The following is a 12,689-nucleotide window of genomic DNA, read 5'->3' on the forward strand; positions in this document are numbered from 1 at the left end:
ATACTTCATATAAATGAAATCATACAATATGTGACCTTTTATATCTGGCTTCTTCCTTCACTTAGCATAATATTTTGTAGGTCCAACTACACTGTAAAATGTACCAGTACTTCACTACTTTTTATGGCTAAAAGGTCACTGTACAGACATATCACGTTTTGTTTATTCACCTGGGATAGCAGATGGACATTTGAGTTGTTTCCACATTTTGGCTATTGTAAATAATATGCTATGAGTTGGTACCTTTATAATTAACAGTTATTTAATCATTTCTCTATCACTGGCTATATCTTCCTTCTTATTCCAAATCTTCTGTATTTTCTATTTTCTTTAGTCAACATTGTAAGAGGTTTAATTATTTTACTGATCTCTTCAAAAGCTTTTATATATACAAACATATACGTATCTTTTTTTTTTTGAGACAGAGTCATGCTGTGTCACCCAGGCCAGAGTGCAATGGCACAATCTCGGCTCACTGCAACCTCCGCCTCCTGGGTTCAAGCAATTCTCCTGTCTCAGCCTTCCAAGTAGCTGGGATTACAGGCACATGCCACCACGCCCGGCTAATTTTTGTATTTTTAGTAGAGATGGCTACTCTACTAAATGACAATATGGTTTCACCATATTGGTCAAGCTGGTCTCGAACTCCTGACCTCAAGTGATCCACCCACCTCGGCCTCCCAAAATGCTGGGATTACAGCGTGTAAGCCACTGCACCTGGCCCATATTTATCATTTCTAATTTTTTTTCTATCTCATTAATTTCAGCTTTTTCTTTAATTCAATCTTCAGTTTCTTTTGGTATGTTTCATAATTTTTCTAAGTTCTTTAAGTAAGCACTAAGTTTATTTTTTGCCTTTCTTTGTTAGTCTAATGAAAGAATTTAGAACTAAAACTTTTAATTAGTTTTGCTATATTCCATAGATACTGGCACAATGTGTTCTCCTTTTCATTGTTTTATAATTTATAATATCCTCTTCAATCAATGGGTTACTTCAGATTATGTTTCCTAATTTCTAGTTGGTGTGGATTTTGTCATATTATAATTACTTATTTCTAATTTAGTGAGTATAATCAGTGATATGGTTTGCATATTTGTCTTCTCCAAATCTCATTTTGAAATGTAATCCCTAATGTTGGAGATGGAACCTGTTAGGAGACGTTTGGGTCACAGGGGCAGTTTCCTCATGGCTTGGTGCTGTCCTTGAGATGGTGAGTTTTCACAGGATGTGCTTATTTAAAGCGGTGTGGCAGGCCGGGTGCAGTGGCTCGTGCCTGTCATCCCAACACTTTGGGAGGCCGAGGTGGGAAGATCACCTGAGGTCAGGAGTTCAAGACCAGCCTGGCCAACATTGTGAAACCTCATCTCTACTAAAAATATGAAAATTAGCTGGGCGTGGTGGCAGGCACCTGTAATCCCAGCTACTCGGGAGGTTGAGGCAACAGAATCCCTTGAACCCGGGAGAAGGATGCAGTGAGCCACGATCACGCCATTGCACTCCAGGCTGGATGACGAGAGTGAAACTCTGTCTCAAAAAAATTTTAAAATAAAAAAAAATAAAACTGCGTGGCACCTCCCCTGCCCTATCTTGCTCCTGCTCTCACCATGTGAGACATCTGCTCCCCCTTTGCCTTCTTCCATGACTATAACCTTCCTGAAGCCCTCACCAGAAGCGGATGCCGGCACCGTGCTTTTTGCAGTGTCTGCAGAACCGTGAGCCAATTAAATTTTTCTTTATAAATTACCCAGCCTAAGGTATTTTTCTTATAACAACACAAGAACAGCTTAATACAATCAGAAAATGTGACCTGTAAAAATCTCTTATTTTTTAGAATTTGTAACTTTTCTTTTATCAATGGTCCTTTGAACATACACCAGAAAAGCAGGTCTGCAAGAATATATATGCATAGTTATATAGACATACAGGTACTTTATATATTTTTACTTTATATATATTTACATTTCTATAAAATCAAGTGTATTCATCATAATGTTTAATCCCTCTATGTCCTTTCTCTTTTTTCTATTATATCTGTCCAATTCTAAAAGAGATACATTGAAATCTCCCATGCAATTATACTTTTATTAGATGCCTCTGACATCACTAATAGCTTTTCTGTCATAAATTTAGCTGCCATGTTGTCTGACATGTTTTGTTATAAATTGTCCTTGATATTGCTACCTAATATATCTCTTTATTTAGTTGAAACCTTTTAAACTTTAATGTATCTAATATAAATATTGCTACTATTACTTTCTGTTTTTTTATTTGTATGTTTATCTATAATATTTTTATAAGAAATATCCTTATAGGCTATGCACAGTGGCCCACACCTATAATCCTAACAATTTGGGAGGCCAAGGAAGGAGGATCACTTGAGGCCAGGAGTTGAAGACCAGCCTGGGTAACATAGCAAGATCCCATCTCTATTAATAATAAATAAATAGCCTTATATTTCCATTATTTGTTTTACTTGCATCTCCTATAAACAGAATATAGGTAGATTTCGCATGTTCATTTACTCTAACAGTTTGTCTTTTAATGGGAAAATTAACATTTACTGAAAAGTACACTTGATTTTATTCCTTCCATCATGTTCAGCTTATTTTTATTTTTTATTTATTTATTTATTTATTTATTTATTTTTTGAGACGGAGCTTCGCTTGTGTTGTCCAGGCTAGAGTGCAATGGCGTGATCTCAGCTCACCACAACCTTCACCTTCCGGGTTCAAGCGATTCTCCTGCCTCAGCTTCCCGAATAGCTGGGATTACAGGCACCCGCTACCACGCCCAGCTAATTTAGTATTTTTAGTAGACATGGGGTTTCTCCATGTTGGTCAAGCTGGTCTTGAACTTCCGACCTCAAGTGATCCACCCACCTCAGCCTCCCAAAGTGCTGGAATTACAGGCGTGAGCCACCGCGACCGGCCTAGCTTATTATTTTACCTTTTCATTTTCTCTATTTCCTTGTCCTTGTTCTTGCTGATCTATAAGCTTCTTTTAATTCTGTTTTGTACCTTTATTATTTTGGAAATTCTCCTATACTTTGCCATTCCATTAAATGCTCCCTACCTTTCTCTCTGCTCAAACCGGCACGTTTCTCTACTGTTATTTTGAAATCATGTCAACTATTCTTCTGCCTATATAAACTGTTTCCCTCACTAAGATATTCTTGTCATATCAAGACAAAGACTACTTACCTTTTCCAAAATAAAATGAGCCTCAAGATCTAAAAGGATGGCCTTATGGTCACTTGCCTAACAAAGTCAAAACCTTCAAACGTATTAATAAGAATGCCGTAAGGGATGAACTAACAAAACTCTTAAACATCATTTCACAGCACATTTCTTGCTTTTCCCTTATATATATATATGGCCTACTTTCTCTGAAAAAACACTATTACCAGATTTAGCACAAACTAATCTTTAAAATTCAGTATCACCTGCCAAGTTTAATTACTATTAAATACTATTCAATTCATACGAATATACTCTAGTTGAAAGATTAACATCATATAATATTTTTTAAATTGTTCTGAAATTATTTACATGCTTTCATACTTTTTGTACTTACCCTTCTCCAAGCTTCTCTAATACATCAAAAACTTCTTCAGGCTGCTTAGTCAAACTGTCTTCACTCAGCTTTTTTAGTTTACTGATTTAAAAAAGAAAGAAGAAAGAAAATATTTTCTTTAAAGACCTTTTACAAAATTTTTAATTTTTAAAATTTTACCAAGTTTTTAATTTTATTTTAATATATTCAGAAGACTCAAACAATATAAAAACATACATAGTAAACATTCTCCTTTCAAGCCCTGTTCCTCATGTGCCCAGCAACACCTCCAAAAATAATCACTTTTATTAGTTTTTTGTGAAACCTTTATATAAATATGAATACATATTCTTAATTCCTCCCCTTTGAATATATAAGAAGCATATACACACCCTTCTGTATAAATATTGTCATGTTGTCTACTGTTTTCTCTTGACAAAACTATGTTAGAGATCTTTCCATACAGGTTAATCATCCATAATCCAAAAATCTGAAATCCAAAATGCTCCAAGATCTGAAATTTTTTGAGCACCAACATGATACCCACAATGGAAAATGCCACACCTGACCTCATGTAATGAGTCACAGTCAAACTGTAAGCACATAACACAATTTAAGGAAAAAAGATCCTCCCCAGCCCCCTTCAGCTCTGACATATCTTTTCCATGCATGCACAGATTCTCCCACCCAAGCACATCCAAAGAAGGGTAATAAAATGGCACAGGTACACGCCAGACGCACCAATGATAGGTTCCCCACGATGCCCCACACGGAGCCAAGACTGTGCATTACTCACTGTGGGTTTTTTTGCTTATTCTCTGCTTTGTTGGATAAAGACAATGTTGAAAATCTGAGTAAGTGACAGAAAAAGAGGAAGCATTTATGCTTATCTCTAGCCAAAAAGTCAAGCTGCTGGATAAACTGGAAAGCAGTATGGGAAATGTCTTACAAAAGAGCATGGTGTTGGAATGACCACCATATACAACCTGAAGAAACAGAAGGATAAATTGTTGAAGTTCTATGCTGAAGTGTCAATGAACAGAAGTTAATGAAAAATTTTTCTTAATTGCAGAAAACCAAATGAAGATCTCAAATGTGTACTGAAAGAGTAAATCTGTCAGCACGGCAGAGAAAACATACTACTTAATGGTATGGTGCTCATGAAACAAGCAAAGATATATCATGATGAACTGAAAATTGAAGGGAACTATGAATATTCAACAGGCTGATTGCAGAAATTTAAGAAAAGACACATTAATTTTTCAAAGATTTGTGGTGAATAAAGCAACTGCTGATCATGAAGAAGCAGAAAAATTCATTGACAAGTCTGCCAAGGCCATCACTGATGAAAATCTGACACCAGAACAAGTCTATAATGCTGATGAAACATCACAGTTTAGTGTTAGTTCCCCAGAAAGACTCTGACTACAGCCCCTACAGGATAAGAATGCCATGGACAGAGTAACTGTCCTGGGAGGTGCTAATGCAGAAGGCACACTAAGTGTAAACCTGCTGTGTGGGAAAGATTGGGTTCATTATTAGACTAACAAAAAGGCATGGGTCACTAGGGACATCTTTTCTGATTGGTTTCACAAACATTTTGTAGCAGTGGTTCAGGTTTGCTGCAGGGAAGCTGGACTGGATGATGGCTACAAGATTTTGTTATTCCTTGACAACTGTTCTGCTCATCCTCCAGCTGAAAAATCTCATTAAATATAATGTTTATTCCATGTACTTTTCCCCAAATGTGACTTCATTAATTCAGCAAGTGAGCAGGGTATCCTCAGATCAATAAAGAATAAAAATAAAAACACTTTCTTGAACAGCCTACTTGCAGCAGTGAACAGAAATATGAGCGTGGAAGGTTTTCAAAAGCAGTTCAGCATTTAGAATGCTGTATATGCTATTGTCGATGACTGGAACACAGTATCTAAAGACACAGTTGTGCATACCTGGCACAATCTCTAGCTTGCAACTATGTTCAGTAACGATGATGAACAAGGCAATGACTTTGAAGGATTCTGTATGTCAAGATAAAAAAAAAAAAAAATAGGCCAGGAGCGGTGGCTCACGCCTGTAATCCCAGCACTTTGGAAGGCCGAGGCGGTGGATCACGAGGTCAGGAGACCGAGACCATCCTGGCTAACACGGTGAAACCCCGTCTCTACTAAAAATACGAAAAATAAGCCAGGCATGGTGGCGGGTACCTGTAGTCCCAGCTACTTGCGAGGCTGAGGCAGGAGAATGGCGTGAACCCAGGAGGCGGAGCTTGCCGTGAGCCGAGATCGCGCCGCTGCACTCCAGCCTGGGCGACAGAGCAAGACTCCGTCTCAAAAAAAAAAAATTAATTAAAAATTTTAAAAATAAATAAATAAAAATAAAAAGGTGTTTGACTTCCTTACATATACAAAAAAATACCTTCAGAGTCTGTCAGTAAGTTGGAAGAAATGGATATCAAATAAGTTTTTAACATTGATAATGAGTCTCCAGTTGCTCATTCATTGACCAATGGTAAAATAGCAGAAATGGGCTGGGCACGGTGGCTCACGCCTGTATTCCAGCACTTTGGGAGGCCGAGGTAGGCGTATCCTTTGAGCTCAGGAGTTCGAGACCAGCCCGGGCAAACGGCGGAACCCTGTCTCTATTAAAAAATACAAAACGTTTGGTGGGCATGATGGCACATGCCTGTGGTCCCAGCTACTTGGGAGACTGAGCCTGGGAGATGGAGGTTGCAGTGAGCCGAGATCACGCCACTGCACTCCAGCCTGGGTGGCAGAGTTAGACCCTATCTCAAAAAAAGAAAAAAGAAATAGCAGAAATGGTTCTGAATCAAGGTTATGGTAGTAGTAATGACAATGAAGATGATGTTAACATTGCAGAAAAAGTGCCGGAAGACAACATGGTGTGATGGGCTTATTTTAGGACTAGAGTGCATTCTTAACAGAATAGGAAATCACGTCACTTTATAACATCAAAGAGAGACTTCTAAGACAAAAGCCACTGTTAATGAGGCAGACGATTCTCGAGGAAACATTTTAAAAAGCCATCCAAGCAATGGGGAAAGGATTCCCTATTTAATAAATGGTGCTGGGAAAACTGGCTAGCCATATGTAGAAAGCTGAAACTGGATCCCTTCCTTACACCTTATACAAAAATTAATTCAAGATGGATTAAAGATTTACATGTTAGACCTAAAACCAGAAAAACCCTAGAAGAAAACCTAGGCAATACCATTCAGGACATAGGCATGGGTAAGGACTTCATGTCTAAAACACTAAAAGCAATGGCAACGAAAGCCAAAATTGACAAATGGGATCTAATTAAACTAAAGAGCTTCTGCACAGCAAAAGAAACTACCATCAGAGTGAACAGGCAACCTACAGAATGGGAGAAAATTTTTGCAATCTACTCATCTGACAAAGGGCTAATATCCAGAATCTACGATGAACTCAAACAAATTTACAAGAAAAAAACAAACAACCCCATCAAAAAGTGGGCAAAGGATATGAACACACACTTCTCAAAAGAAGACATTTATGCAGCCAAAAGACACATGAAAACATGCTCATCATCACTGACCATCAGAGAAATGCAAATCAAAACCACAATGAGATACCATCTCACACCAGTTAGAATGGCAATCATTAAAAAGTCAGGAAACAACAGGTGCTGGAGAGGATGTGGAGAAATAGGAACACTTTTACACTGTTGGTGGGACTGTAAACTAGTTCAACCATTGTGGAAGACAGTGTGGCGATTCCTCAGGGATCTAGAACTAGAAATACCGTTTGACCCAGCCATCCCATTACTGGGTATATACCCAAAGGATTATAAATCATGCTGCTATAAAGACACATGCACACGTATGTTTATTGCGGCACTATTCACAATAGCAAAGACTTGGAACCAACCCAAATGTCCAACAATGATAGACTGGATTAAGAAAATGTGGTACATATACACCATGGAATACTATGCAGCCATAAAAAATGATGAGTTCATGTCCTTTGTAGGGACATGGATGAAGCTGGAAACCATCATTCTGAGCAAACTATCACAAGGACAAAAAACCAAACACCGCATGTTCTCACTCATAGGTGGGAATTGAACGATGAGAACACATGGACACAGGAAGGGGAACATCGCACACCGGGGACGGTTGTGGGGTGGGTGGAGCGGGCAGGGATAGCATTAGGAGATATACCTAATGCTAAATGACGAGTTAATGGGTGCAGCACACCAACATGGCACATGTATACATATGTAACAAACCTGCACATTGTGCACATGTACCCTAAAACTTAAAGTATAATAATAATAAAATAAAATAAAATAAAATAAAAAAGCCATCCAGCAGAATGTTTCCTTATCCCTAGCAGACCTATTTCCTGGCCCCTCAGCTGCTTCTGATGTTTCTTCTCAACTAAAAAAAAAACCACACAGTGTATAATAGTAACCTTTCAATCAAAAATCAGCATCATAGGTGAAAACTAAAAGCCTGCCGTTGTTTGTTGTTCCTGTTGTTTAAAAGCTGATAGAGGTATTCTGGTAATGCCACTGTGCTGCTTCATTACCCTGAACATATTTTTTTTCCACTGTATTAATGTTATGCCATATTTTTTGCAGTTAAGTACTTATGCATGAGCAAGTATAAGAAAATGATTGCTTATCAGTAGCATGTAAATTCAGAGTCAGAAATGAAGGTGATGCCAAACAACTCCACAGACTGTCCACATGGGTGGCTGAGATAGTGACACCTTTCCTTTCTGATGGTTCAATGTATGCAAACTTTGTTTCATGCAGAAAATTACTTAAAATATTGTATAACATTACCTACAGGCTATGTGTATAAGGTAGATACAAAAATTTCATGTTTGGCCTTGGGTCCCAGCCCCAAAATATCTCATTATGTATATGCAAATACTCCAAAAAACAAAACAAAACAAAATTCAGAAATCTGAAACATTTATGGTCCCAAGCATCTCAGATAAGGGATTCTCAACCTGAATAAAGCATCAATGTTCTTTTTTACAGCTGCATCCTATTCAATTACAGAGATATAGCATATCTTACTTGCCCAGTCTTTTGCTTATGGACATCCAGGTTCTCTTTTGATATGATAAACAATGCTGCACTGAGTAACCTTATATATAAGTCAATGAATGAATGAATGAATGAATGAATGAATGAATATATATAAACTTATATATAAGTCAATGAATGAATAAGTCATGTGCTAGTATATATGTGGAATAAATTCCCAGAAATGAAACTGAGAATACAGACACATTCACACACACATAAATATAAAAGTAGATATGCTGACAAATAAGTATATAATCATGTAATAATATAATTTTAATAATGTAGTATAACATAAGATCACTATTGTCATAACTATATGGTAATTATTAAAATTATTGATTACATTATGGTATATTTTACCTATTATAATTATATGTTATATAAATATATATACATATACACTGATTTCAGCAAGTTGTCCTCCATAGAGTTTGTACTAATTTATTCTCCAACAAGTAATATATGAGAGCCCTTCTTTCCCACAGTTCCATCAATAGGGTATTTAATGAAATTATTTGGATTTTAGCCAATCTGTGATGAAAACTTATTAGCTCAGTGTAGACTTAACTTGTATTATTATGAGTGAAGTTGACCATCTTTTCATATGATTAAGAAGCTAAATCACCTACTTGTTCTTTGCTCATTTTTCCACTGGGTTTTCGGTCCTTTTCTTATGTGTATACAAAGGAAACTAGCCCTTTTTTCGAGATTATAAACATTTTCATTTGGATTTTGACTTCACTTATAAGCTTTTAGTTTTGCAGTCTATTTGATTTTTTGCCATATAAAAAATGTCATTATTTTATTTTTGCAAATGAGTGGATGGTAATGCCATTTACTAAGGTAAGAAACACAGGGGAAAAAAAAAACAGTCTGGAGGGGAACAAGATGGGCTCAATTCTAGTCATCTAAAAGTAGATTTCCGGTAAGCAACTGGATTTACAAATCTCAGGAGAGATTTGAACTAGAAATATAATTTTTGGTGTCATCAGCACATTGCTTAAAGCTTTCAGAAGAGACAAAATCATCAAGAAAATGTCTAAGAAAAAATAAGAGTCAAACACAAAACACATATCAAGGAAACACCAATATTTAAGAAATGAGGTCATGAAGCACAAGAAGGTAATATTTGGCTACATCAAAAGCTACCAAAAGTGCAAGCAGCTTGAAAGTTTAAGTATCCATTGTAGAACTTCCACTTCTAGCCACCAGGTTTATGACAGGAAGCAGAATTATCTGTCAGCTGCAAATAGCTACAAAACTCAACAAAATGTAAGAAACTATTTTCAGATGCTGGCTATCAGGCATTCCAGAACTGGATATACTGAGGTCCCCAAGAGAAGGAGAAGAAATAAGATGAGCCCTGCCATCGCCCAGGCTTTAGATCTAGAGACTATGTCAGACTGTAGCACAGGAAAAGAAGAACTCAAAGAGAACCAAGTAATTTTGCTGAGTTGAAGAAATAGAGCTTAGAGTTTGGTGAGGAATCAAGGCAAATGGAAATTCCATTACAGAGTATCGGGAGAAGGGAGCTATGCAGGGAAAAGGTTCAGCAATCTATCTAGAGGTTTCCATGAAATGCCAATCTGTGCATGCTTACAAAACACTCCTCAAAGCCCAGCAAAACCAGTTTCTTAAGGCGAAAAAAAATGACCAGGGAGGAATAAAAAGCAAAATTCCCAGACAAGGCAATTTATCACAAAATATCACAAGGCAGGGAATCTTTCCCACTATCCAGAGTTGAAAGAACTCCACGAATACAAAGGTCATTCAGAAAAGAACTCAGAACAGCATTATTTTAGAAAGGAGATTATATTACCAAAAGATAAAGGATATTCCAGATTCTCCCTAGAGGAGCTTAAAAACTAACCTCAAAAGCATCAAGCCAAACCACAAGACAACTTGCTTAACTGCCTACCAGAACGAGTCTGTAACTTCTTAAGCAAAGCAAAATTCAACATTCACAAATGTAAAATTAACAATGTCAAAAAAATAAAAAAAAAAATTATTAAACCTATGAGTAATCAGGAACTATAACTCATAAAGAGAAAAATTAGCCAATAAAACAGACCCAGAAACGAGGTGGTGAAATTGATAAAAATCTTAAGAAAACCTCTTATGAATATACTTTCACATACTCACAGATGTTAAAGGAAATGGAAGGTAGGGGGAAAGATAAATGGAAATTTAAGAGATAAAAAATAAAATATTTGCTTTCGTTGCTGCAGCAGACGCTGTGAGTATTTTCAATGCTTCAGAAGAGGCTTGCCTCTAGTGTCCTCCGCTGTGGCAAAAAGAAGATCTGGCTGGACACCAATGAGACCAATGAAATTGGCCATGCCAACTCCTGTCAGCAGATCCAGAAGCTGATCAAAGATGGGCTGATTATCCATAAGCCTGCGACTGTCCGTTCCTGGGCTCACTGCCAAAAAAGCACCTTGGCCTGCCAGAAGGGCAGGTACATGGTCATAGGTAAACAAAAAGGGTACAGCCAATACTCAAATGCCAGAGAAGGTAACCTGGGTGAGGAGAATAGGAATTCTGCATCAGCTGCTCAAAGATACTGTGAATCTAAAAAGACTGATCGCCACATGTATCACAGCCTGTACCTGAAGGTAAAGGGGAGTGTGTTCAAAAACAGGTGGATTCTCATGGAACACATCCACCTGCTGAAGGCACACAGACCCACAAGATGCTCCTGGCTGACCAGGCAGAGGCCTGCTGGTCTAAGACCAAGGAAGCATGCAAGTACCATGAAGAGCGCCTCCAGGCCAAGAAGGAAGAGAGCATCAAGACTTTGTCCAAGGAGGAAGAGACGAGGAAATAAAGCTCCCCTTCTCTTGTCTGTACATAGTGGTCTTGGTGATTATACAGATCAATCATTAAAATAAAACAAGCCTTTATCTGCTAAAAAAAAAAAAAAATCTGAAATATAAATTTTGTTGAATAAGATTAAAAGGAGATTAGACAGTGCAGCACAAAAGATGAAATCATTTGAAAAGGAAAAAGTGTTATTTAAATAAAGGAAGAAACAAAAAGCCTGAGTCCCACATGAAAAAGAAACAAATGGGATGGGAAGTAAGGAAAGAAAAGTAAGGAAAGGAAGGAGGGAAATAAGGAGAAACATTTTCCAAATTTTATGTAAACCATAAACCCACACAGATGCATCAAATTCAACAAATTTGAAAAGATAAAACACACAAAGAGAGAAAGAAGGAGAGGGAGAGAGAGAGAGAGAGAGAGAACCAAAATATATTATGATCAAATTGCTGAACATCAGTGAGAAAGAATACTAAAAGTAGTCACAGGAAAGACATATAGGCATATCTCAGAGATACTGCAGGTTCAGTTCCATACCGCAACAATAAAGCAAATACCACAATAAAGCAAATAACACAAAAATGTTTGTTTTCCCAGGATATATAAATGTTTACACTATACTGTAGTCTATTATGTGTACAATAGCATTATGTCTGAAAAAACAACGTACATACCTTAATATAAAAATAATGTTTGAGGTGAAGGATACCCACTATGCCCTGATGATTGTTATGCATTATATGCCTGTATCAAAATATCTCATGTACCCAATATATACACCTACTATGTACCCATAAAAATTAAAAATAAAAAAGATTTTAAACACTTTATTGCTAAAAATGCCAATGATCATCTGAGCCTACAACGAGTCAAAATCTTTTTGCTGGTGGAGAATCTTGCCTCTATGTTGATAGCTTCTGCCTGATCAGGGTGGTGGTTGCAAAAGGTTGGGTTAGCTGTGGAAATTTCTTAAAATAAGACAACAATGAAGTTTGCCACATCAATTAATTCTTCCTTCCCAAAAGATTTCTCTATAGCATGTGATGCTGTTTGATGCATCTTACTCACAAGTAGAACTTTCAAAATTGGAATCAATCCTCTCAAACCCTGCCACTGCTTTCTCAATTAAGATTATGGAATATTCTAAATCCTTTTTTATTTCCAAGATGGCAGATTAGAGGCTTTTAGTGGGCCTCATTCACTTGGAAATAGCAAGATAGTGTACAAAGGC

General features: G+C 37.1%; 1 protein-coding gene and 1 pseudogene across 21 annotated transcripts in view; one reads left to right on the forward strand and one right to left on the reverse strand.

The window, feature by feature from the left end:
- The window catches only part of STK3 (serine/threonine kinase 3), a 598,636-nt gene that overhangs the window by 427,190 nt on the left and 158,757 nt on the right, over window positions 1-12,689 (reverse strand). For all 21 annotated transcript variants that reach the window (XR_007060753.1, XR_007060752.1, XR_007060754.1 and 18 more), the window contains one exon: window positions 3,575-3,655. Coding sequence is in view for 17 of the 21 variants with exons in the window: in XM_047422133.1 (XP_047278089.1) it covers window positions 3,575-3,655 (81 nt within the window). In the remaining 4 variants the exon portion in view is untranslated. The remainder of the gene's footprint in view (window positions 1-3,574; window positions 3,656-12,689) is intronic.
- On the forward strand, window positions 10,848-11,546 carry RPL19P14 (ribosomal protein L19 pseudogene 14; annotated as a pseudogene).

Source organism: Homo sapiens, chromosome 8 (genome assembly GCF_000001405.40).
Source record: "Homo sapiens chromosome 8, GRCh38.p14 Primary Assembly".
Taxonomy (NCBI): Eukaryota; Metazoa; Chordata; class Mammalia; order Primates; family Hominidae; genus Homo; species Homo sapiens.